Source organism: Homo sapiens, chromosome 20, assembly GCF_000001405.40.
Source record: "Homo sapiens chromosome 20, GRCh38.p14 Primary Assembly".
Lineage (NCBI taxonomy): Eukaryota > Metazoa > Chordata > Mammalia > Primates > Hominidae > Homo > Homo sapiens.
This window is the reverse complement of record NC_000020.11, coordinates 48315054-48341287: the sequence shown is the minus strand read 5'-3', so window position 1 is coordinate 48341287 and position 26234 is coordinate 48315054. Positions and strand designations below refer to the sequence as shown.

The 26234-nt window shown below is 45.6% G+C and overlaps 5 annotated features.

Annotated features, from left to right (window-relative positions):
* Positions 1093-1142: an enhancer, noted in NCBI's record as "active region_18017". NCBI's record gives its function as "activates an Ori minimal core promoter by ATAC-STARR-seq in GM12878 lymphoblastoid cells {active_cell/tissue: GM12878}" and the evidence as "EXISTENCE:reporter gene assay evidence [ECO:0000049][PMID:35858748]".
* Positions 1203-1292: an enhancer, noted in NCBI's record as "active region_18016". NCBI's record gives its function as "activates an Ori minimal core promoter by ATAC-STARR-seq in GM12878 lymphoblastoid cells {active_cell/tissue: GM12878}" and the evidence as "EXISTENCE:reporter gene assay evidence [ECO:0000049][PMID:35858748]".
* Positions 1603-1712: an enhancer, noted in NCBI's record as "active region_18015". NCBI's record gives its function as "activates an Ori minimal core promoter by ATAC-STARR-seq in GM12878 lymphoblastoid cells {active_cell/tissue: GM12878}" and the evidence as "EXISTENCE:reporter gene assay evidence [ECO:0000049][PMID:35858748]".
* Positions 1823-1872: an enhancer, noted in NCBI's record as "active region_18014". NCBI's record gives its function as "activates an Ori minimal core promoter by ATAC-STARR-seq in GM12878 lymphoblastoid cells {active_cell/tissue: GM12878}" and the evidence as "EXISTENCE:reporter gene assay evidence [ECO:0000049][PMID:35858748]".
* Positions 20642-21220: an enhancer, noted in NCBI's record as "H3K4me1 hESC enhancer chr20:46948811-46949389 (GRCh37/hg19 assembly coordinates)". NCBI's record gives its function as "activates a minimal SCP1, AML or CMV promoter by ChIP-STARR-seq in naive H9 embryonic stem cells {active_cell/tissue: H9 hESC(naive)}" and the evidence as "EXISTENCE:reporter gene assay evidence [ECO:0000049][PMID:30033119]".

Below are 26234 nucleotides of genomic sequence, written 5' to 3'. Positions count from 1 at the left end.
AAAGGCAGGGAAGAGGGCTGCAGGGGGACTTGAGGAAAATGTATATGCAGTCATCCCTCGCCATCCACAGGGGACTGCTTCCAGGACCTCCTGCAAATACCAAAATTCACAGATGCTCAAGTCCCTAATACAAAATGGCCTAGTATTTGCATATAACCTACGCACATCCTCCCATGCACTTTAAATCATCTCTAGATTACTTATAACCCCTAACAGAATGTAACTGCTATGTAAATAGTTGTTATACGGTATTGCTTAGGGAATCGTGACAAGGAAAACAGTCTGTGCATGTTCAGTACAGACGCACATTTTTTTTCAAACATTTTTGATCAGCAGTTGGTTGAATCCATGGGTGTGGAACCCACCCACAGATACAGAGGGCAGATTGAATACGGAAGGGTAGAAACCTGTGCAGTGTGCATAGTCTACAGAGAGGCCTGGGCTGCGGGAGGCAAGCTGGGCAGGGCATCCCAGGCACAGGAAAATCCCCAGAGCTCGGGTTTACTGAGCCCGTCCTGTGCAGGCCTGGATCTGAACACTGTGCCTGCAGCATATCACTGAAGCCCCCTCCCACCCCACGAGGCAGGTCCATCATGCCACCCATTTTACAGGGGAGGAGACTGAGGCCAGAGAGGGCAAATAACCTCCCTACAGCCACACAGCTTGGAAGGGGCTGAGCCAGGGTTCCAAGGAGAGCTTGCACCCCTCCCTGCTGCTCTGTAGCCTGGTTCAGCTGCAGGAGCCAAGCCTCAGGGCAGGTTGTGGTGTGGGGCACCCCGTGGCGATGTGTGCACAGGGCCAATGAGGCGCAGGCGCAGGACTGGGGATGTGGGTGGCCATGTGCGGCGTTGCTGGTTTCTGTGGTAGGAAGAGTCGCAGCACCCAGGGCTGCAGACTTAGGTTCCTCTCTGCTGAGCCTCCTTTGGGTCAGCGACTCGGTTCCTGATTGTTTCCTGGGCTCTGGTCTAGCAGATTCTTTCGCACCTAGTCCCGGTGGGAAACACAGGCATGCAAGGCAGGGGTTTGGGGCAGAATTAAGGAAACTGGGAGCACCTGGGGACCAGCAAGTGAGGGAGCTGCCCAGAGCCCAGGGCTGGAGGGGCAGGTGGAGGGGAGTGCATGGGCAACCCTGGGAAACTCCTGCAGGGAAGGGGCTGCCCACAGGGCTGCGGTCACACCACAGCGAGAGTAAAGAAGAGGCACCCCAACCTTTCCCCTCCTGTCCTTAACCTTTAGGGGAGCCTCCCTTTTGCTGAACCCCAACTGAATGCCAGAGGGCAGGGAGCCCAGGAGATACAGTTCTCAGGGGCCAGTTCTGGGACAGGGAGCCCCAGGCAGAGAAGGGGTCCAGGTATTGGAGAGGGAGAAGGGGAATGACCAGCTGAAGCATCTGCACCTTGTCCCCACACTTGTGCCCCTGGCTGCAGGCACATCGGGTACCAGCCAGGGGAGGAGAGGGAGCTTTGGAGCCCTGGTAAAGCAGGCAGGGAGGAGGAGATTTAAGGAGAGAGAGAGGTTTGTGATGAGGGAGTGGAGGGAGGGAAGCTGTGACTGAGGAGCAATGAGTGGGCTCATGCTCAGCGTGAAGTGAACATGGGTTATTCTAATAATCTAGTTGTGATGCATTAATTTTTGGTCAGTGTACACCCTCTTGTTGCCAAGGTCTGTACAATACCAACTGCCTGGCCCATCTGTGTCCCCTGCCCGGTAGCTGTCGTGGCCTGAGTTCTCCTTTGTGGGGCTTGTAAATTCTGCTCAGATGAACGCAGTGTGGAGACCTGGCAGGCTTTGTGTGTGTGGCGGGGAGCTGGGGGGAGTCCAGATAGTAATATTGAAGGATGATTCCACTTTTCTCTCTATTTGAGTTTACGAATCGTTTTAGACTGTTAGGGACTGGGAATTTTCCAGCAGCTGCATCTGACCAGGTACAAATTGAGAACTGATCTTAGGTTCACACTGCGGTCACTCTCAGCTGTGATACGAAGTGTGAGTCATATTTCATGCATGGGCCTCCTGCCCGAAAACAGTGTCAGCTTCTGAGAAAATACAGCCCATGTGCAAGGGAACATTACGATTCCTCACAAAATGAAGACGCCCCTTCTTTGTAACCCTCCCAGCCCAAAGTGAGATCTGTCTTCCCAGGCTTCCCAGCGTCGCTAGGTTGTCAACCAAAATTGATTGAGGACTTCTTATTCTTCGGCTCGAGCGGTGGTAGATGATGCCTGGACCATCAAAACTTAGACTGACTGGGAATTCTAACATCTACAGGAGAAGGAAGAATACTTAATTAAAACACATACTTTTCAGAAGACGCGGGTATAACCACAGCAAAATGCATCATTTATAATGGAAGCACTTTTCTGTAGATGGAGACTCAGGGAATTGGAATTTTTAGCATGTTCATCTGGCACCGTGACATCACACATACGTCCTTCTTGTACATTTTAAAATCTTGTCTCTGTCTACATCTTGAGGGTTCCCTGAAGAGAGACACTTCTCTTTGTGTTTCTTTCATAACCTCTAAAATGTTCCCATGACACTTATTCTTTTCTGAGAAATTTTTTAAATTAAATTTAATTTTTTAAATTTTTATTTCAATAGCTTTTGGGGTACAGGTGGTTTTGGGTTACATGAATTAGTTATTTAGTGGTGATTTCTGAGATTTTGGTGCACCCATCACCCAAGCAGTGTACACTGTACCCAGTATGTAGTTTTTTGTTGTTGTTTTTTGTTTTCTTTTTTTTGAGACAGTGTCTTGCTTTGTTACCCAAGCTAGAGTACCATGGCACGATCTTGGCTCATTGCAACCTCCCCTCCTGGGTTCAAGCCATTCTCCTGCCTCAGCCTCCCAAGTGGCTGGGATTACAGGGGTGCACCACCACACCCAGCTAATTTTTGTATTTTTAGTAGAGACGGGGTTTCACCATGTTGGCCAGGCTGGTCTCAAACTCCTGACCTCGTGATCTACCCGCCTCCGCCTCCCAAAGTCCTGGGATTACAGGCGTGAGCCACCCCGTCTGGACCTGGTATGTAGTCTTTTAACGCTCAGCCCCTCCCAACTTTCCCCCCTTGTCCCCAAAGTCTATTATATCACTCCTACGCCTTTGCATCCTCACAGTTTAGCTCCCACTTATAAGTGAGAACATAATGATATTTGGTTTTTCATTCCTGAGTTACTTCACTTAGAATAATGGCCTCCAGCTCCATCCAAATTGCTGCAGAAGACATCATTTTATTCCTTTTTATGGCTGAGTAGTATTCCATTGTGTATATATACCACATTTTATTTTATTTTTTTAAGATGAAATCCATACTTTATTTTTTTTTCCAACTTTTATTTTAAGTTCAGGGGTACAGGTGCAGGTGTGTAGGTTTGTTACATAGGTAAACGTGTGCCATGGTGGTTTGCTGCACAGAGCACCCCTAGGTATGAAGCCCAATATCCCTAAGGTATTCTTCCTGATGTTCTCCCTCCTCCCACTCCCCACCCTCTGACAGGACCCAGTGTGTGTTGTTCCTTCACATGTGTTCGTGTGTTCTCATCATTCAGCTCCCACTTATAAGTGAGAACATGCGGTATTTGGTTTTCTGTTCCTGCATTAGTTTGCTGACAATAATGGCTTCCAGCTCCGCCCATGTCTCTGCAAAAGACATGATCTCATTCTTTTTTATAACTGCATAATATTCCATGGTATACCACATTCTCTTTATCCATTCCTTGGTTGATGGACATTTAGGTTGGTTCCATATCTTTGCAATTGCAAATTGTGCTGCTATAAACATGTGTGTGCATGTGTCTTTTTCATATAAAGACTTCTTTTCCTTTGGGTAGTTACCCAGTAATGGGATTGCTGGATCAAATGGTAGTCCTACTTTTAGTTCTTTAAGGAATCTCCATACTGTTTTCCATAGTGGCTGTACTAATTTACATTCCCACCGGCAGTGTAAAAGTGTTCCCTTTTCACCACATCCATGCCAACATCCATTGTTTTTTGACTTTTTAATTATGGCCATTCTTGCAGGAGTAAGATGGTATCTCACTGTCATTTTAATTTGCATTTCCCTGATGATTAGTGATGTTGGACCTCTTTTCATATGTTTGTTGGCCATTTGTATATCTTCTTTTGAGAAATATCTATTCATATCTTTTGCCTGCTTTTGATGGGATTATTGGTTTTTTTCTTGCTGATTTGTTCGAGTTTCTTGCAGATTCTGGATATTAGTCCTTTGCATGTCACTTATTTCTTGACTTGTCTAGATTTTGACAGGTGGCCAGAAAGACTCCTTTTTTCTGTTTTTGGGAAAAGTTCTACTAAAGGAAGATCCTTCTTGGAGAGCAGCAGAGATTCATTTGTCTGTTATTTTGGTCTCTTCAGGGATATGCTGAGTGTTGCTTTTCTACTAACAGACCCCATATCTCTGCCCACATGTATGCCGAACATCAGGCCATTCCCATTCCAGTGACTCAGCAGTGAAGAAGTCACCCATCTCGGGTTTAAAATTAACTGCAATATGCGAAAGAGACAATTCCGCCTGGTGGGGAGGTAAGTGGTAAGCACGTTTTGCAACATAAAAAACATTCTGGGATGGAAATCTGGAAAACTGGAAAGCGAAGGAAGCAAGAGCTGCCAATTTAGGGGCAGAAAATGTTATGTAGCTTAAAACTCTTTAGGAATATATTATCAAAAGATCTTTTCCCTGTGATGTTATTTTGGAAATCTCTTTTATACTGGCTGATGGGCTTCCATTTAGCATTTCACTGACTTGAAAAATCAGAGCGCTCAAATTACAGCCTCTTACAAAAAAGGGAGCAGGTCTGTGAATGGTGCCTAATCAATACATTCATTTCTATACCCATCTCCATCTTATCTCAGATGATCGGGGTGAAAATGTTCACAAGTTATTTACTTTGAAATCAAAGAGCAGGAAGATGAAAGGAGTGAGCTCAGGAGTGTGCTCTTCTCTTCTTCTTTATTCTCTTCTTCTTCCTGGGCCATCCACTGTTGGAGGAGGTTGCTGGACACTGCCTGGCTCAAGGGTGGTGAACTTGGCTGACCTGCTTTAAGGTAGAAGGACTGAGAAAACCACGAAGACCTGTGCTTTCTGCTATTGATGGCGAGAGAAAACCATTCTCTCAATGTGCCCCTGACCTAGTGCCTTTGTCTATCCACAGCATGAGATACTTCTTAGGAGCCCATTTCCAATAAATGCAGACAAAGAAGGGCTCAGTTTTAAAATACAGAGATATATCAGTTTTTGCCATCATGGTAATATGTAGCACACCAACCCAAAATTCAGTGACCTACAACAACAAATGTTTATTTTCACACTCAAGAGCCTATAGTGTAGATGGGTTTGGCTGATGTTGGCTCAGGCTGCAGACCAGCTGGGCTTGGCTACAGCCTGTAAAATGATCTCAGTTCAGTTTTGTGCCTCTCTTGTTCTGGGACCTTGGCTAGAAGAGGAACAATTGCTTGAAGAAATACTTACATGTGCAATTTGTGTCGGATGTACAAGCTTTGCTCAGGTGGATTCTATGCAAAGTCTTCTCACATGGCTCAAAGCAAGTTACATGACCAAGCTCAAAGTGTATGGGGTGGGAGATCCACTCTGCCCATGTGGGAGGGCCCTGCAGAGGTACATGACAAAAGGTCACAGTGTATAACCCTCTTACAGAGGCATGCAGGATTAGTATCAATTACCGGATATGCCACAAAAATCTGCCTCCAGTGTATCTTCAACAAAGAAGGCCTTTCCCAAAATAAATTCATAACTGATCCTCTTCAATTGTTTGCAATTCATGGCATGAGCGGCTTTGAACTAAAGTAACAGAAATCTCCATGAGAACCACTCCTATAACACCCATTAAAGAGAACCCAGCCCTGGAAGTGACTGCCATATGGGTTTGTCAGGGCTCAGCTGGGAGTTGTTTCTGGCTGGTTGATTTTCTCTCATTAAGATTTTTAAGTGATTATTCAAGAATAGCTCAACAGAGTTAAAATTATAAATGAATTTCCTAAGGAGTCAAATTAATATATTAAAATGAATATTTTTGTATCCATTAGTATAAATTTATATGCATAATGTCCCTTATTTCAACCAATATTTCCTGATGGGTAGTACCCATTCACTGTAACACGAAAAATAACCTTAGGCATTATTTGGACAGGGTTTTTTTTTTTTGTTTTTTGGGGTTTTTTTTTTTGAGATGGAGTTTCACTCTTGTTGCCCAGGCTGGAATGCAATGGCGCAATCTCAGGTCATTGCCACCTCTGTCTCCTGGGTTCAAGCGATTTTCCTGCCTCAGCCTCCTGAGTAGCCAGGATTACAGGCACCTGCTACCACGCCTGGCTAATTTTTGTATTTTTAGTAGAGAAGGGGTTTCACCATGTTGTCCAGGCTGGTCTTGAACTCCTGACCTCAGGTGATCCACCTGCCTCAGCCTCCCAAAGTGTTGGGATTACAGATGTGAGCCACCGTGCCTGGCCTATTTGGACAATTTTTAAGTTATGTATATGTCCTTACAGTGTATTAGTCTGTTCTGGCGCTGCTAATACACACCCAAGACTGGGTAATCTATAAAAAAACAGATTTAATTGACTCATAGTTCAGCATGGCTAGAGAAGCCTCAGGAAACTTACAATCATGGCAGAAGGGGAACCAAACATGTCCTTCTTCTCATGGTGGCAGGAAGGAGAAGTGCAGAGTGAAGGGAAGGAAAAGCCCCTTATAAAACCATCAGATCTCATGAGAACTCACTCACTATCACGTGAACAGCATGGAGGTAGCTGCCTCTGTGATTCAAGCACTTCCCACCAGGGTCCTCCCACAACATGTGGGGATTATGAGAACTACAGTTCAAGATGAGATTTGGGTGAGGATATAGCCGAACCATATCATATAGTAACCTTCAACTTACAGCAAATGATAATAGTTTTACTTTTACAGTGGTGATATCAAGTGTTCTGTTTGAATATATTTATTTATGTAAAACAGTGAGTCAAATTAAAGAAAAAAGTAAAACATAGTACAAGTGGGGTATAGATAGGGAAAATTTTTGAGGACGTTTTTGAAACACTTTCCTGAACGCTATGCAGACGTGCCATGAATTTAGATGACCAGTGTCTCTTCACAAGGATGCCTGTTATCATTTTCCTTCTAGACGTAGCCACACATTTCAACCTGTTCCTTTTGTCCTCTTGGTGTGCCTCGTCACCCTCTTCACAGGTCTCATGGTGACGATATCAGTCCCACGGGCCACGTTTCCTGCTTTGTCTCTGGTCATCTGTGGAGGACTCTGTGCTGGGCCATGTTGTCAGCACTGGAGATTCAGCCAGGAGAATCTAAGATTGCCAGATTCATTCCAGGACCATGCAATATTTAGATATTCATTGTGTAACTGGGCAGGCATCCTGTGCTTTTATTTGCTAAATCTGGTCACCCTAGAAGACTCCCTTGCAAAGGTGATGCATGGTTATTGGCCCAAGCTCTGGAGTTGGAGTTCTAGGTTCAAGATGAGGTTGTACCATCTACAAGCTAGTTACATGAGCTCTTGGGGCCTCTGTTTTCTCCTGTTTGTGCTTGGGGTAGAAAATAATATCTTCTTCAGAGGGTGTTGAAAGTATTAAACAGATGAATTGTTTATATGTTATTGGGTATACAGTACATATACAAGAAGACTGTCTAGGCACAGAGCAAACAGCCAACTTGATGTTGTTGATAAACTTCAGGTTTTCTGACATGTAAACAAGATAGCATCCTCTCAACCCACAGTGCCATTTGGTTGTATGAGAATCCAACCAGCAAGGCGACAGTCTATCTTGTGCTTTACTTGTCTACTTGAGGAGCTTTGGGGGTCTTCATGACCTGGGGTGTCCCAGCACTATCATCAACTTATGAAAAAACCCATTTTAAAAACAGCTTTGCTGGGCATAGTGGCTCACAGTTATAATTCAGGTACTTTGGGAGGCTGAGGCGGGAGCATCATTTGAAGCCAGGAGTTCAAGACCAGCCTGGGCAACATAGTGAGACTCCGTATCTACAAAAAAAATATTTAAAAATTAGCCAAGTATGGTGATGCATGCCTGTAGTCCCAGCCGTTCAGGAGGCTGAATGGGGAGGATCGCTTTAGTCCAGGAATTCAAGGCTGCGGTGGGCTACGATTGTGCCACTGTCCAGCCTGGGTGACAGAGCAATACCCAGTCTCTAAAATAAAAAATTTAAAAAGATAACAAAATAGCATCCCCTAAGTAAGATAAAGTAAATCAACCAGAAGACCTCTTTGAAATAACTCCTAAATCAGCAAAGATGTTAAGCATGCTAACTGTTCTTCTGGTCAAAAAAGTCGCAGGTTGCTTCTTTTAGGAAAGGGAAAAAAATCAAGGCTTAAGTATGACCCAGGTAAATGGTGAATACTTTAACATAAACCAGCATTGTATGCGACCTCCAGTTCTGAACTTTATTTGTCTGAGGTTTATGGAGGTAAAGTGACTCAGCAGAGAAAGCAAATTCAAACTCCCAGGCAACTTCTTTTTAATGAGCTACTCAGATGTGTAATTTGAGTCAAACCAGACCCTGCCACGTTGTAACAAAAGGATTATAAAGTTAAATAAAAAGGGGGGAGCAATGTTTCATCTCCCTTTTATACATGCTAATGCATCTGAAAATTGAGAAAGAATTAAAAGATAATTAAAGAGCTCTTCCAATTATGCAAAGTTCAGGGAATGCAGGCAACCATTAATGGAAGAGATGGGAAAAGTAGAAGGTAAAGTAGTCTTTTGAAAGAAAGCAGAATATGTGTTTATGTTGGAATTTACCCCTGGGTGAATTTCCTTTATCTCAAGGATAATCACAAATTCCACCTGAAGCAGGTTCAGTATAGAACTCATTTCCATCTAAAACAAACCATATCCGATAAGCCTGAAGGGGCTATGGACAGTGTCTTTGCCTGGGATCCTCCACATGCAGGACCTGAGACAAGAGCAGGTAGATTATTTCCCAGAAATGATCCCAGGATCTGGATTTGGGGGACTGGCAAGAATAAAATGCGGGAAGAGGAAAAGCCAATCTAGGATGTGTTTTGAGCTGACTACCAACTATGGTGGTTTTAAAAACATGCTGCATGGTTTTAAACACTCCTCCCATGAAAGGTGGGTCTAGGTACCCTGTCATTCAATCTGAATGGGCTTGTTTTGCTATGTCACCTCCTTGTTTTGCCAGGTCATGAAAAGCCACTAGTAACTGGTGAGTTCTCTGTCCTCCTTCCTTCCTGCAGCATGGCTCTTCTAAACAGCAAAACATTGTTTGAAAAGCTTGAGTCTGGGTTCTTTTGCTATCTTTTGCTGTAACAGCAGTGAGTTTGAGCCATTAGAAAATTCTATGCCCTTGGACAGAGATTGGATCATAGGTGGACATGTGAGACTCAATTCTGAGACTTTTGTTGAAACTGTGGGACAGAAAATTTATTTTTCTCTCAGAGCTCCTGAGGATGTGAATAGGTGCCAGGACAGAAGAGCTTGCCTGAGAATGGGATTCACAGAGAACAAGTCACAGCTAGGAGGTGGGGGGGTGGGTGTCACTTCCTGATACCATCATTTGAGTACCTGGATCCAGCCATGCCTGAAGCTATTGCTCTTGGACTTTTTAATGACATGAGCCAATTACTCCTCATTATGCCTTTTTTAATAAGATAAATTTTTATTTAGATGCCATCAGTTGGAATTAGGACAGTCTGACTAAAACAGACCAACTTGGGAAAGATCTTAGATTCTCCAATACATGCTAACTTACTGGTAGGAGACTTCAACTATAAGACCACACAGAGAAAATCCTCTCTGGTCAGAACAAAATAGTGCCTCTTAATTCAGGCTAATTGGGGTTTTCATTTTAACATTGTTCTCACTTTTGCAAGACTCAGAGTAGACCGTGGTGTTCATTATGATCCCCTGATGTTGTATAAATCCAGTGGCTTCCTATGAATATGGAGACTTCATAGGCTGAACCACGCCTGAAACACATTCGTCTCTTTATCCTTTATCTTTTCTTATAAGACAAAGAAAATAAATACAATATGTATAATTATGAATGTTCATCAGAAACAGATACATAAGATAAAAGTTAAAATCTTAAGTTTTCGACATTACAAAGTGATATTATTTTGTCTGGGCTTCCTTTTTATAATCCAAGTGTTTTCTTCTCATCCATTGTGAGATCAATAATTAACTTTAGTGTAGCTTTTTATTCCTTCCTAAAGACTGGCTTTAATTCTCCCATGCCTCCATGTCTACTAAAGACATTTGAAGATGATGCATTCAATGTTTGTAACAATGCTTAAAAAATTTTCTTAAAAACGATTTTAGTTTTGGCAAGATTTAGAACTCATAAACGCATGCTGATATGCATTCTCTTACTATTTGCACTTCTCCTTAAAAATCAGTGATTTTTCTTCTGTTTTAGAGTTAGGTTTATGCTCATTCTTGTTCATCTCATAGTTTGCTGCCACAAAACAAAAATCAATTTAAAAAGAAAAAAGCAATTCCTATGTCTTTCCCCAATAACCTCTGAATATATATACACACACACACACACACACACACACACACACACACACACGCACATATATATATGACAAATCTGCTCTGAGATTATGAAGCCTCTTTTTCTTCTGGAAGGAATAAAATGGACCTTGAAAATCCATATCACAATGTGTCTATCACAGAGGAGGAAAAGGCCTTCGGGCATTCATAGGCTGTCAGGAGCTGCAATGGTGAGAGGCAGCATTGCATCCTTCCCATGAGAGAAACAGGCACCTTCAGGCAGGATCTTAGAAAAGCATAGAAAAATGACCTTTTCATGGAAGCTGGAACTTTGCTTAATGTGAATAAGGGTGACTCACTGCTTTGTGAAACTGTATATGTGTAATAATAAAAGAAGCCCTACAGTGTCTATTTATAATTCATTTTTTTGGTTTCCATTCTTTTTAGCTAGGGAAAATGTACAATGACCCCATAGTAGGTTCCTGACACTCTTCACACAGGCTGACTTTCATCTCTAGATTTTGCTGGGACGCATCTTGAGGACCTCTTGCCTTGTGGCTGCAACATTTAAGAGGCAACATGGATTGTCCACCTCTGTCTCCTGACTTTGGGTCCTGCAGAGCAGGCGGCTGTCTGGGGGCTGGTGGACGAGGCCCCAGCAGGGGGAGCACATGGTCTCTGGGCCTCCCCTACCAGGAAACCTAAGCTTTGCTTTGCCAGGTTCCCAGGGGCTGGCTCCATCTGGAACTCCCCATGAATTCACCAAAGACAGTCAGTCCCACCCTCCTGGCAAACTCGGTGCAAGTCCTCCAAAGACCAAGGCCAACCAGGAAGGAATCAGTTATCTGGCCAGGATAAATGGGGGGGCTGCTTTGTTGGAGAAAGGCCTGTGGGAGGGGGCCCTGGGGACACAACCTGCCCTGAGGGCCCACCTCTAACCTGGGAAAGTTCCCCACCTCCTGTGCTTCCCCAGCAGAGAGTGGGCTAAAAGCAGCTCTGTCTTCACAGGTCCTGGGAAGCACGAACGGGTTGGTGCGTGCTGAGCATTGCAAACTGGCATGTGGTAGGGCTACCCTGTCTCAGTTATTTTCACATTGGTAATTATTTTAGCCAAAGGGGAGTTTCTAGTGCTGATCTGAGAAAGTTACCAGTGCCCACAAAAGGGAAAAAGTAGACAGAGGCTGGATGCTTAGGAGGGTGCTCTTGTGCCCAACATCCAACATCAAGGAGCACTCGTCACAAAAACTGAAACAGGCAAAACTGGCTGAACATGGGGTGCCCCGTCAACAGAACGTCAGAACAGATCTGTAAATCTTTTGTTATCTGAATGTTCAGAGTCCTCTTTCTCCTTTCTTGCCTTTTCCCTCCTTCTTTCTTTCCTTCCTTCCTTCCCTCCCTCCTTCCCTCCTTCTCTCTCCCTCCCTCCCTCCCTCTCTCCCTCCCTCCCTCCTTCCTTCCTTCCTTCTAATTTCACTTACAAGATGATTCAGTCTCTCATGCAATCCCTGGGGTCTCCTGAGAAGTACAACAGTCCGAGGAATGAAGAATGTGTCCTTGATTAAGCTGGGTATCTGAATCTTGACATTTTTTTGCAGCTAAATTTATCTCCAGTTGATAGCCCAGGCTTATGGGGAGGGTTGGGGCTAAGAAAGCACAGCTTTGTTCAAATGCAAGTGGTAATTTTGAAGGACCCTATGAGACTGCCATCTTCTAATGATTCTCCATCCTGTGGTTGAGGGTGCCACCGAGGATGGTGATGAGTGAGGCAATCTTCGAAGGAATTTTTCCGCTCCTGCCAGCTTCCTTCATAAATCCTGGGCTTGGCTCTGCCCAGGCAGCAGCAGATCTGGGCTTTGTGCTGCTCTGTGGTCTTCCTGGGGCTCAGTCCCTGGGTTGGGCCTGGGACATGGGAACCAGGATGCCAGTTCCTTTGTACCCATGGCCTCCTATCCAGAAGGCCCTTGGGAGGACAGCCTGGAGGCTCAGTTATCGGAGCGTCTCAGGCTTTCATATCTGGCAAGTTTTCAATGAAGCCACCAAAGACTCAGTGTCCCCTTTCAGTTGGTGGCGCCACCAAACGCCCGGTTCCTCAAGCCAGTGAGCAGGCAGCATCCTCAGGCCCTCCCTCATCTTCCAGCTGCCATGGAATCTATTGAATTGAAAATGCACCCCGTCTGTCCACTCCTGTCCACACCCTGCTGCTGTCCCAAAGTCTGCACCTCTGTCCTCACCTGGGTCATTACAACAGCCCCCATGGGACCTCCTGCTCCCACTCCTCTTCCCACGCCTGAAATCTACTCTCCACACGCACCCAGAGTGAGCTCCTGAAAATGGTCATGTGGCCCTGAGCGGATGTTTCAGCGGCTCACACTGCACTGGGAACAGCAGACTCCACCTCCTCATCACCTCCCACAAGGCCCAGCAGAGTCCTGCTGGTTCCCCAGATCACTTCCCACCACCTCCCCTCACTCCCCCATCCCAGCCGCACTGGCCTCTGGCTCCTCCTCCCACGCCCCAGTCCTCCTGCCCCAGGGCCTGTGCACCTGCTGCTCCTGCGTCCTGGAATGCTCTTCCCACAGCCGCCCTCTGACCTGCGCCCTCTTGCCCTTTGTTCTTCACCCAGGTGTCACCCACTCAGAGAACACCCCTGACCTTCCCAAGGAAGCCCTCTGCACTCCGACGCCATGTCCCCGTGACCTGCACAGGACTGTCACCATCTGGAATTGATGCCCTCTCTTGCAGTTTTGCTATTGTCATTTGCACCCACAGGAATGTCACCCACATGAGTGTGGAATTTCATCTGTCTGTTCGCTGCTGGATCCCTGCTCTAAGTAAGAAAATGGCCTGTGGCAGAGTGAGCTCTGCATGAGGATTTGCTGAAGAATTGGATGAGGGAAAGACTCAGAGAATGGAATACTGAGAATTCTACAATAAATATTTGAATCCTAGAATGTTGGATTCAGGAGAAGCCCTTGGAAGCCATTTAGGCAAACCCATTCATTTGCAAAGGGGTAAACTGAGGCTGAGGAGAAAAAAGTGACTTGCTCCACATCCCAAGGCCCAAGGGTCTTCTCCCTGCTCTGATGGGAGAGGGCCCCACTTTGTGCTGTTGTGTGTGTAAGGGTGATGTGTGGCTGGAGGGTGAAGGGGCTTCTTCTGCTCTTTGACTCATTGCCTAGGAAAATAGGGACAAAAGGCACAAATTTGTTAAAATGCAAATGACTGAAGGCAACCTCATTTATGAGAGACAGAGCTGTTGTTTGGATTAACAGAGGAACAGAAATGCCGCCCTGAGGATGAGGAGATAAGAAGGGGCTGAAAGGTGGGTGAGCCCCAAATGTGACCTTCAACTCTTGGGAGGCCATAGGCAAGGACTCAGCCAAGGCAAAACCCTCAAGAATTTAATTTACCGACAGAAACATTCACAGACCGCCCTCGGGGCCTGAGGTCTTTCCAAAGACAAGTCCGAGTGTGTGTTCCCGGCCGAGGCCCTTCCTCCGGCTTCTGTATTAGCTTCCCGGGTCCGCTCTAACAAACAACCACAAACTGGTGGCTGAAACCATCAGAACACTTTTCCTTACAGTTCAGGAGGCCAGAAAGCTGGAGTCGGGGTATTGGCAAGGTCAGTCCTTCCGGAGGCTCCAGGGAGAAACTGTTCCCCGCCTCCTCCCAAGCTCCCGCGGTCCCGGTCCCTGCAAACCTTGGGATCCTTGGCTGGCAGATGCTTGGCTCTGATCTCTGCCTCTGTGGTCACATGATGTCCTCCCCATGTGTCCTCACGCGGCCTGCTTACAAGGACACAAATCACTGCACCCAGGACCCACTGTAATCCAGTGTGGCTTCAGTTTTACCTAACTAAGTACATTTGCAAAGGCCCTGTTTCCAACTAAGATGCACGCTGAGGTTCTGGATGGACCTGAACTTGCAGGGGACACTCTTCAACCCAGGACAGCTTCCCCTTACCCCCCGATTAGCATCCAAACCCCTCCCATGACTGAGGCTACAGGGCGGATGTGGGTGAAGGTGCAGAGCCCGATGCCCAGGTGAGGGCCCAGCTGGTCACCACCCCATCTGCCTGTGCTCAGCAGGTCAGGGTCCCAGCTGTCCACTCCCTGCTATAGGTTGGCACACCCCCTTCTCTTGCCCTGTGCTGTCCCAGGGCCCCCTCCTTGCCCTGTGCAGTGAAAGTGACCTGCTTTGGACATGCAGCCCCTGTGGTTCTGATGCAGGCGGGGACTGGGGATGCGCCTGGGGCTCTGGTTTGGTTCTGGGCTTCTGTCATTCACTACAAAAGGACCCTGAGGAGCCGCCGCCCTGAGGCTGAGGAGAGCTCCGCAGGGTGGACGGGAACCTGATCCCGGGGCCCAGCCCCCGTGCCTCTCAGCAGGAAGCAGAGTCCCCCGATGGAGCCCAACAAGCCCAAGGGACCCCAGCTCAGATCAGCTGAGCCCCGACGACCTGCAGCCCCAGGAGCTGAGACGTGGCGGCGGTTGTGCGTCACTGAGTTTGGGATGGTTTGTGATGGGGTATTACCGTGACAACAGCTGAGTAGTACAGAAATGTGATGCTGGGCACAGACTGACCTCTCAGTCTCCCCATCTGTACAATGGGCTAATAACAGATTAGCAGGTGGCTGTGAAGATTAAAAGAGAACATACGTGTAAAGTGGCGCACGGATCAATGCGCATCGGCTCCCAGCATCATCACACGGGCCACACGACCCTGCCGTCTCATACTGTCCTCCTCGGTCACCCTGGCTGGAGGCAAAGCCCTCCCCCGTTTCCGGAAATCTCCGACTCTTTGCACTCTTCATCAGTCTTCACTTGGGTGGATTGTTCTGCTGTCTAGAGCTCAACTCGAACAGCCCCTCCGCCAAAGGGCTTCCCTGAGAGCCGTGTCTGCAGCCGAGGCTCCTCCCCCTCCTGCTGGAGGTCCAGGGTCCGTGGGTGCACGGGGGGCAGCCCAGGATGGCAGGGACTCTGGCTCTTTTGCCCTCTGGTGTGTCCCCAGGACCTAGACCCGGCCTGACACTACTCCTGGTGGACTTATTGTTAGAAATTGGCAGGTCCTTGCTATTCATGTCTGTTTCCTCCAGTCTTGCTGCTGAGCACCTGATGAACTTCAAACAATAGCAATGTCTGGAGCCAGGTGCTGATGACCCCCAGGAGGAAAGTTGCAGAGGATGACGGGAACAAGGGGGATGGGCAGGAGTCTAAGCAGGCGCTCAGGGAGGCACCTTTGAGAAGGTGACATGGGGCAAGGATGCTGAAGGAATGGAGGTCTCATGGATTCTAGGGGAGATGGTCCAAGGCAGAGGGACAGCCAGTGTGGGCCTGGACAGGTGTGTGTAGTGTGTCTGAGGGGCAGGGGGCAATGTGTCTAGAGGAAGATGTGCAAGGAGGACACTGGGGGCTGAGGTCAGAGGGGACACAACTGGATCTGTGCGTGACCTTGCATGCCGCTGAAAGGGCGCTGGCTGTCACTGTCATGACCAGAGCCTCTAAGCAGGTCTTCACAGAGGTCAGGCTGACTGCACTTGTGGATGGATTGAACAGCAGTAGTAAGAGGACAGCATGCATAGATGAGGGAGGACTCCCAGGATTTGGGCTGCACAGCTGGAAGAAGGGAGGAGCTCCTGAATGAGGAGTGGGAGGTCCGGGAAGGGCAGCCTTGGTGGAGAGAGATGCCGGGACCTGCAGAGAAACCCCCTGAAAAGAAGGGGGCTGAGCCAGCTCTACCCCAGGCTCAGGGCCTTCCTTCACTGTAACTGCCAGGACGATCCACCATGCTGTCACTCAGAGAGTGAAACCAGCCTGACTTTGCACTTGTGTCTCTGAGGGATAAAGGTCAATGTCACAGCAGACTCCACTCTGATGCTGTCTTCAAGCCAAAACCTTAATATTCAATGAGAAATCTGCATTGATGAAATGTTCATTAAATAAACTTTATCCCTTTCATTCCCCTTATTATTCGTGGCTTTGAGTATCAGGCTAATTTAGGTTTGATGCCCCAGTGATCTGCAGATTGGAGCATTATTAAACATTTAGATGAGCAATCATGAGCCTGAGCCTCCCTCTCCTCTCTCAGCCGGAGCACAAGGGTCTCTGCTAATGATCACAATGGATTTGGGGCAGACACAGCAATTAGAGAATTATCTATAGTTTGAGGGAGATTTGACCCCTCTGCCTTCAAGGGAAATTAGCTACTTCACTTACAGAGCACACAATTTAATTGATAAAATGCATCAAAAGAAAATTCCAGTCCTACCTCCAGTTTTACATCTAACCACCTGTGCGAATGCCTGAGCAGGCCCCTTCTTTCTATACCTCCCCTTGTCCCTATCTGTAGAGCATGGAGGGCTGGACCAGGGCAGAGGCTTCAGTATGGTGGGCTGTGGGCTGAAATCAGCTTAGAGAGGGCCTCTGTCCAGCAAACTGTTTGGTTCATTTGTTTAGTGAATGTTTTCCTAGCAGTCATGATTTTGGGTTCTATGTGTTTCATGTATGTTAACTTGTCTAATCCTCCCAGCATCCCTTGAGATTGGCATACTTATCTTTTCCATTTTAGAGATGGGGAAACTGACCAAGAGGGGTTAAATAACTTACTATAGGTCACCTGCTAGGCAGGAGTAAAGCAGGACTTGGACCCAAGCAGTGTGACCTCAGAATCTGTGCTTTAACATCCATGCTGCAATCCTTCAAATTTCTTAACTTTGATTATGTTTTTCAAGCACCGTGTTTCAAGAGTAAGTAGGTACCAAAATTTAAAACATTCATATTTTTCTATAAACTTAGAACTTACAAATTGAAAAAATGGGAGCTCTGCATAGGTGCTCTTAAGTGTTTGTCCATCTCTGGAATATTTCCATTTTGGACATTCACGAGGCCCTAATAACTGATGTGATTTAGCACTTATCTGTTTTGAGAGATGGCAAGTTTCGAAAAGATAATCTCATCTTTCAAAAAGACCCATAGAACAACTAGCAGTATACTGAGGAAAAGACCTATTTGAAAGTATCAGGGAGGAATTTTGGCTGCCAGGACTTAAAGGACCAAGGCCTTAGAGAGAAGGGAAATGCATTGATCTAAGCCTGACATTCTCGGCTTCTTTTCCCTTTTGGGAGTTTGCCAGTTTGTAAATAAGGGGAGCTACGAGTCACAAGAACTGAGCTTTTCAGCAAGTTATGGTTCTGGGGACACAAAACTTGATGTTTGGGGCTACCAAGAAAGCCAGGGTCTGAGACCCCGAGATCTTAAAGAAAATAGAACTTCTAGCAGTGAGTCTGCTTTTCTGCAGTACTTTCCTTTTGCAGCAATTATGCATTCCTAAGTTGCACAGAGACAGAGTGAGAGGTTTGAAGCCCATCTGAAACTGTGCAGCTGAGAGGCTAAAAAACAAAGCTAGGTTTTCCCCAGTATAATGATGCCATAGCAGCAAAACTTAGAGTTCAGGGATTCATCATTAAATAATTGGAGCCATGGAAAATAAACAGTGGTTTCTGTTGAGTACCTCAAAGTACTCGATCTAGGGAAGGAACAACAAACCAAATAAAACAGATCTCAGAAAGATGAAAAATCAGCCTTGAATCCTTACAGTTATGGTAATCTAGCCTCACTATAGTAGCTGTCAGGAAAAAAAAAAAAAAAACATTAAATCTTCCCTGGGGAAAGGTACATCATCCAGAGATGCAATATTTAAAAAGAATGCCCCGCATTCATACAAACATTATGAGGCGTATCAGAAATAAGACCAAATAACCAAAACCATAAGAAAAAAAGACAAGGAAAACTCACAGACGATTGGCTAATGAGACTATCACAGATAATTTTTTTAAATCTATTATTAACATGTTCAATAAAAAGATGAAAAGATGGAGAATTTTATTAGAGAAATGGAATATCTAAAAATGAATTACTTGAAGAGTTGCTAAATGAAATGTAGAATAACTGTAAGTGAAAACACAGTTGGTGTAACAGCGGATTAGCCAAAGCAGAAAACAGGTTTGCTGGAAATAACCATATTAAAACATGAAGACCAGAAAGAATTGCAAATGCACAAAACAGCATTAGACCACAGGGAGCATGATTTTATAAAGGTCTAGGCCGGGCGCGGTGGCTCACGCATGTAATCCCAGCACTTTGGGAGGCCGAGGCGGGCAGATCACGAGGTCAGGAGATTGAGACCACCCTGGCTAACACGGTGAAACCCCGTCTCTACTAAAAAATACAAAAAAAAAATTAGTCGGGCGTGGTGGTGGGTGCCTGTAGTCCCAGCTACTGGGGAGGCTGAGGAAGGAGAATGGCGTGAACCTGGGAGGCGGAGCTTGTAGTGAGCCGAGATCACGCCACTGCACTACAGCCTGGGCAACAGAGCAAGACTCCGTCTCAAAAAAAAAACAAAAAACAAAAACGGTCTAACATATATGTAACTTAAATTCTAAAAAGAATGGAAAGAGAAAGCCAGGAAGAAGTGCTATATGAAGATATTCAAGTGAAGATTCTTCAAAGATGATGAAACATTAAATCACAGAATCACAGAATCAAGAACCCCAGCAAGATAAAGAGAAAGAAATATATACCTAGCCACATTATAGTAAAACTGCTGAGAACTACAGATATGACTATTAAAAGACAAACAGTAAGAAAACAGCTAACTCACCAACAGGAACAATTAAACCAGAAGATGATGGAATGATACATTTAAATGCTGAAAGAAAGCAACTGTCAATCTAAAATTCTATTTTATTAAAAAATATCCTTTGAAAGTGATATAAATAGTTTCATATAAGCAAAAATGGATAATTTATTGTCAGCAGATGTGCATTCACATAAATACTGAGTGCAGTTCTTCAGTTAGAAGGAAAAATAATTTTAAATGGAAAATGCAATAAAAATGAAGAGCAATAGAAAGGGCAAATATATTGGGAAATTTAAATTAACCATGAGTATACAAAACAGCAGTAACTATTAGCTGTGGAAATTTATATATAGAATTAAATTATTTGACAAGAATAATACAACAGTCAGAAGGAGGTTAAATGATTTTAGAGAGTTCTGAAGCTCTTCCATTGCCCAAGCAGTAATGTTGTGGTTTACGGAGACTCCAATAAATCAGAGATATATATTGTCATCTGTAGGATGTTTACTAAAGAATAATAGGGTTGGGCGTGGTGGCTGATGCCTGTAATCCCAGTACTTTGGGAGGCCGAGACAGGCGGATCACTTGAGGCCAGGAGTTAGAGACCAGCCTGACTAACATGGCAAAACCCCATTTCTACTAAAAATAGAAGAATCAGCCAGGCGTGGTGCATGCCTGTAATCCCAGCTACTTGGAAGGCTGTGGCATGAAAATTGCTTGAACCCAGGAGGCAGAGGTTGCAGTGAGCTAAGATAATCACACTGCACTCCAGCCTGGGTGACAGAGCAAGACTCTGTCTCAAACCAAAAAAAAAGACTAGAAGTCAAACTGACAAACTCACGGAAGATTACAAAATAGGAATATATATATATATTTTAAAAAATACCTGATTAATGCAAAATAAACAAGGAAAGAAGAGAAAAGGTGATGCAAATAGAAAACAAATCCTAAGAAGTTATCATGAAATGATAAGACTAATTACATTAAATATAAACAGTTGAAATTCCAAAAGAGAAGGGCCAGTCTTTTTTTCTTCTATAGAAAAACATAGATCTATTTCTTGGCTGGGCGCGGGGGCTCATGCCTGTAATCCCAGCACTTTGGGAGGCCGAGGCAGGCAGATCACGAGGTCAGGAGATTGAGACCATCCTGGCTAACACGGCAAAACCCCGTCTCTACTAAAAATACAAAAAAAAAAAAAAAAAAGAAAAAAAAGAAAAGCATAGATCTGTTTCTTATCTACTTCAAAGTGTTTCAAAGGTAGATATGCACATAAGTCACCTGAAGAGCCAGCAAAGATATCTGATTCCCTGGCCCAACTTCTATCATTTAGGGGTGGGATTTGGGAACCTGCATTTTTTAATGCACCCAGATCACTCTTGGAGAAAGAATGACCTCTCCTATGGAATGGGAAGGATCAGGATGAGGGATGAACTGTTAACATATTGCTTTACTTGTTGTGGAGCTTAGAGCTTAGCAAGGGGCTGATACCAATACACAAATCAATACAAATGCAAGAAATTGTGAAATAATTGTCTTTAGGGAGGGACGTTTGCCCTCCTGCAAATGGCCCAGATGAGAAGAGTCAGAGGATTTCCCTTATCTTAACTATTCAGATCTTGGCAACTCGGGAGCAGACCAACTGGGGTTAGGAATCCAAAGCAGGGCAGGATCCGTCCACACACTCGTGTGTTTATTTATTTATGCAGCTCCAGCAAAGAAAGTTAAAAACAGGGACTGGGCCCTGACTGGGAGACGAAGCCTGACACTGCCTGTGGATCTGTGAGGCTCCGTCTAGTCCAGGACTGACTTCCTGAGGCCCATGAGTGCACCGAGCCAAGACCCTGCTGGCCACAGAACATGGGAGGTGAGGGCTACACAGGGAAGGGCTGTGGTTTCAGGGGCTACTGCAGCTGGCTGACCTCCTGCTCCTGGTCTCTCAGAGGTTCTCTGCCCTCAGCAATGGAAGGTAGGACAGGGATCACATCCCAAGGTGGGAGGGGGCTCGTGTCAGCCTTGAAGGTGCTTGGAAGGTCCTTTTGTGGCAGCCAGAAAGGGCTGGCTCTACTTCTAGATCCACAAAGCTGCTCGGATAGGGGCCATCTCAGGCAGAGGACCACGAGGGGTGGGGAGCGCAGCTGTGCTCTGCCTCGGGCTGCCCAGGTGACATGCCCAGGGGTCTGAGTTACTCCGGAGTCTGATGGGTTTGGAGGAGCATTGAGGGAGCACCCAGCATGGTGGTCCAAGGTCCAAGATCCAGTCCAGGATGGCATTGGTGTAGGTGAATCTGGCCATGCTAATTTTGCTTAATTTTGCCAAAAAACAAAAAAAAGTGGGCTATGTGTGATTTTCCCCTTTGCCATTTTTGTAATCTTACAATTAATTTATAATGACACAATTAACAGATAGACGTACTTTCTGGGCCCTCATGGTACCATAATAATTAATTTTAAAAGACCCAGCACTGGCGACACCATCATGCATTCATAAAAACCCAAGAAGAAGAGAAAACCCTCAAAGCCTCCAGAGTGATGGAGCTGATCTCATATTAAGGACTAAGACCGAGAACGCAACTCTGGAAGCAAGAATGGAGCAGTGCCTACAAACTTCTTGGGAAATTTACTTCCCATGTGGAATGGGGAGCACTAGATCAAGGGCAAGGACAGAATAAGGACATTGCAGACCTGCAGGGTCATGGAGAACCAGCTTCTTGGGCCCTTTCTCAGAGCTGTGAGAGGAAGATGTGTTCCACCCAAAGGAGAGACAGATCTAGAATGGAGATGCTGTGGGATCCCAGACACAGGATGTAGGAAAGGGTCCCCAGGATGGATCTGAAGCACCACGGAAATGTCTAGATCACTGTTCTGAAGCAGATCCAAAGAGCAGCCGTTACTCCGAGGAGTGTTGCCAGTGAAACACAAAACCATCCCCCTAACCTGAGGGTGTGATCACATTGAGACATGGGTTATAGACAGAGCTAAGAATTTAAGGATGAATTAGTGACAGCTATGGAGAAAACTAAAGAAGTGGAAGTAGATCGTTTATATCTAGGGAAAGCAAAAATGCTATAGAAACAAGGCAATTAAAGTCTACACCACACGAGTCAACTATGAAGACTTTTTACTCCATTACATTAGTGTGGACACTGCATGAAGTCTCGGTAACTCTACCAGTTGATGGGCCAGGGAGAATGGGTAGAGGAGCACCTCTATGAAGCAAATATTCATTGATCATAGCAGATAGGCGATAGATAATGTTTACAGAAAAAAACTGGTAGCAACAGAAACATATTACTTAGAAATATAGACATAGGGCCGGGCTCTGTGGCTCATGCCTGTAATCCCAGCACTTTTGGAGGCTGAGGCGGGCAGATCACGAGGTCGGGAGATCGAGACCATCCTGGCCAACATGGTGAAACCCCCTCTCTACTAAAAATACAAAAATTAGCTGGGTGTGGTGGCAGGCACCTGTAATCCCAGCTACTTGGGAGGCTGAGGCAGGAGAATCACTTGAACCTGGGAGACAGAGGTTGCTGTGAGCCGAGATCGTGCCACTGTACTCCAGCCTGGAGACAGAGCAAGACTCCATCTGAAAGAAAAGAAAAGAAAAGCAAAGAAAAGAAAGAAAGAAAGAAAGAGAATGATAAACAGCTAGAAGAGATAAAAAGTGGTGCTTTCTGGAGAGCAGAAATCATTGGGGATGACGGGGGCCGGGGTCTGCAGTTTTCCTGCGGAGGCTTAGAGCGCTGTTTGTTCAATCCTTTTTCTATTTTCTCTCTGTTGTTCAGGATAACTCATTTCTACTGGTCGATTTTCCAGCTCGCAGAAGCTTCCCTCCATCTTTTCCATTCTTCTATTGAGCCCAGGTATTTAGTATTTTTTTAAAAAATTGGTTATTGTGTGTTCTCAGTTCTAAAATTTCCACTTGGTTCTTTGTTATATTTTCTATTTCCTTACTGAAACTTTTCTTTTCTTCGCTAAAACTTTCTATATTTTGACTCATTTTCAGCACATGAAAGTATTTTTACAATGACCATTCTAAAATAACTATGAAATCATTCCGACATCTGTGTTATCTTGATGTTGGCATCTGTTGCTTGTCTTTTCCCATTAACTTAAGCTGCTACTGGTTCTTGGTAGGAGTGATTTTTGATGGACTCCTTGCCATGTTGGGCAGCATGCTAGGAGACTCGAGATCTTACCCAAATCTCCAGGTGTTAGCAGACGTCCTTTCATACCACACTGGGGGTGGGGGTTCAGCAACAGCGCCTCGTTATTGCCAGGTTGGGTGGAGCCCCAGTTCCCCACTTGGCCTCCACTTATACCCTGGGGTGGGAGGCACATCGCATTACTGCTGGGTGGGGGTGAGGACTCAGTGTCCCAACGAGTCTCTGAGCACCCTGGTTTGGAGGTGCAATGATATCTCATTAGGGCTCCTCACCAGCCTCCACTGGGCACCATGTGGGTGGGAGGCTCCTTACATCAGGTGAGAGTGGAAGTCTAGGCTCCTGCCCAGCCTTCTCCAACACCACCCCAGTCGGGGTTTGGGTGCCTTGCTACAGCTAGGTGGAGGTGGAAGTTCAGGTTCCTCACTTGCTCTTCACTGGCATGGATGAGGGTGGGCTGAGGTTTTTCCATGTCGTTTGTCCGGCATGGGGTGGTTGTCCAAAAGTTTTGTGTCTTGCTAGGCTGCCCTATTTCTTGCCCTTCAGGTAGAGAAGACAGGCTCTTCCTGATATTTCCCTTTTGTCTGTGCTTGTTGGCATTTCCAGGTTGTCAGCTTCTCCAGCACCCAGTCCACAATAAAGAAGGCAAAAGAAAACCCCAGGAACTCACTGTCCTGTCATTTCTCCTATCCCGAGGGCCCTGCTGGTCTGCCTTCTTCTCTCCACTGTTCAGAGGCTTAGGTTTGTTTTATACATACTTGCAGGGGTTTTAGCTGTACTTAGCAAGAAGAGGAGGAAAAATGTATCCACTCTCTTTCTGGAAGTGAAGATCTGAACACTTCTTTTCTCTTCTCTTACTTTGCCTCAAACAGTAACCATGCTTCCTCCGTGGCTTCAGCTTCTGAAGAGCCCCTGTGTGCTTCTCTGTCTTCTCCTGGGTCACCCCAGATGTGGGTGCCAGGAGTTACACTTCTTCATTTTCTCATTATGCCTAGAGCTGCTAGAGGCTTCCTTCTTCTCTGTCTTGACTCAGTTTCTGCCATTTGGCCCCTAGCCTTTCCATCACCTGTGGAACTGACTCTTGCTCTCTGTTTTTCAGATTGGAGTGGTTCCCATTTTCCTGCATGGAACCTGATTTACACAAAAGGTCTGAGCATTCTTATTTTAATTTGATAGCTATTGACAAGTTACCTGCCAAGCTGCCCGTACCTATTTAGTTAGAACAATAGGAGTATCTGTTTACCCACAGCCTTGAAGGGTTTGTCTTGCCAATCTGATAGGTGAATTTAATAGTCATTTTCATTTGTTTAATTAAAGGTCAAATTCTCATCTTTGTTGTGTTTATTGGTTATTTGCATTTCACTTCTGTAAACAATCCATTCATATCCTTTATCCATTTTTCTGTCAAATTATCTGTATTTTTCTTGTTGCTTTACAGCATATTAAATTAATCCTTTGTAATGTATGAGCCGGAAAGCTCTTCCTTGTCTTCGTTTATGCCATCCTTTGTTATGCCGAAGTTATAAGTTTTGATGTTTTTAATTATAAAAAGCACATACACTTTGGGAGGCCAAAGTGGGCAAATCACCTGAGGTCAGGAGATCGAGACCAGCCTGGCCAACATGGGGAAACCCCGTCTCTACTAAAAATACAAAAATTAGCCGGGCATGGTGGTGCACACCTGTAATCCCAGCTACTCGGGAGGCTGAGACAGGAGAATCGCTTGAACCTAGGAGGCAGAGGTTGCAGTGAGCCAAGATCATGCCACTGCACTCTAGCCTGCGTGACAGAGTGAGACTCCGTCTTAAAAAAAAAAAAAAAAAAAAAAGGTACATAACCCCCCACCATCGAATTAGCAAAAAGAAAATGCATTGGCTCATGTAATGGAACAACTCAGAGGTAAGGTTCCAGGTACAGGTGGATCTAGGGGCTCAAAGAAAGCCACCAAGACAGTTTCAGTCCTGCTCTTCTTTATGATAGCATCATTCCAGGGCTCAATAGGATAGCAACACGGCTCCCAGTAGCTCTGTTTACACATCAATATAAGTAACAGAATCTTGTCTAAAAGTAGCTTACTTATGAAGTTTCTTTTTTCTTTTTACACAAGGAGCCTGAAAGTATAGTTAGCTCTGAGAGTGATTCAGTAACTCCAAATGTAAGCACTCTGAGTATATATGTACTTTTTCTTTCTTATGAAAAAATGGCTGCCCTAGCTCTAAGCTTGTGGCATTCACCCAACAGCATCCAATACAGGTAGAAAGGGAAGCCTCTTGTCAAGAACATCTCTTTTACCAGATGGGGCAAATCCCCCCCAGAACCCTCCACCTCCCCACCCCACACCCCACACCCCACCAGATGCTCTCTCAGATTCCACTGGCTGGACTGGGTCATGTGACTCTGCCCTCTCTGCAAAGGAGGATGGGAAAGCAAGGAACGGGCACTCTCAGCCTGTGGACTGGGGAACTAAGGGGTGGGGAGCTGTTGGGTGGACATCTAACACCGCCTGTCCCAGGGAGCATCTCTCCTGGTCACTCCTGCTCTAGAACCAAGGCTCATTCTGCTTGGATTAACTCATGTCACGTGCTCATCCTGAACCACTTCCTGGTCACGGGGATTTACCAGCTGATTGGCCAGACCTGGTCACATGCTCCACCCTTAGATCCAAACATGGAGCTCCTCCTGAACCCAGTGATGGGCAATGGGAGAGTGACTGCTTAGTTACTAGGGTCTGGTTACCGCAAGATGGGAAAATGGATGCCAGAAACTCAAATTAGGAAATTTACACCAAAGAAGCCATGTTCACATGGAATAATCATTATTGCTGATCATGTCAATTTCTGGGAGTTAATTTCTGGCCAATGCTAGACAAACCTTAGCTTTCATCATTCTCTCATCCC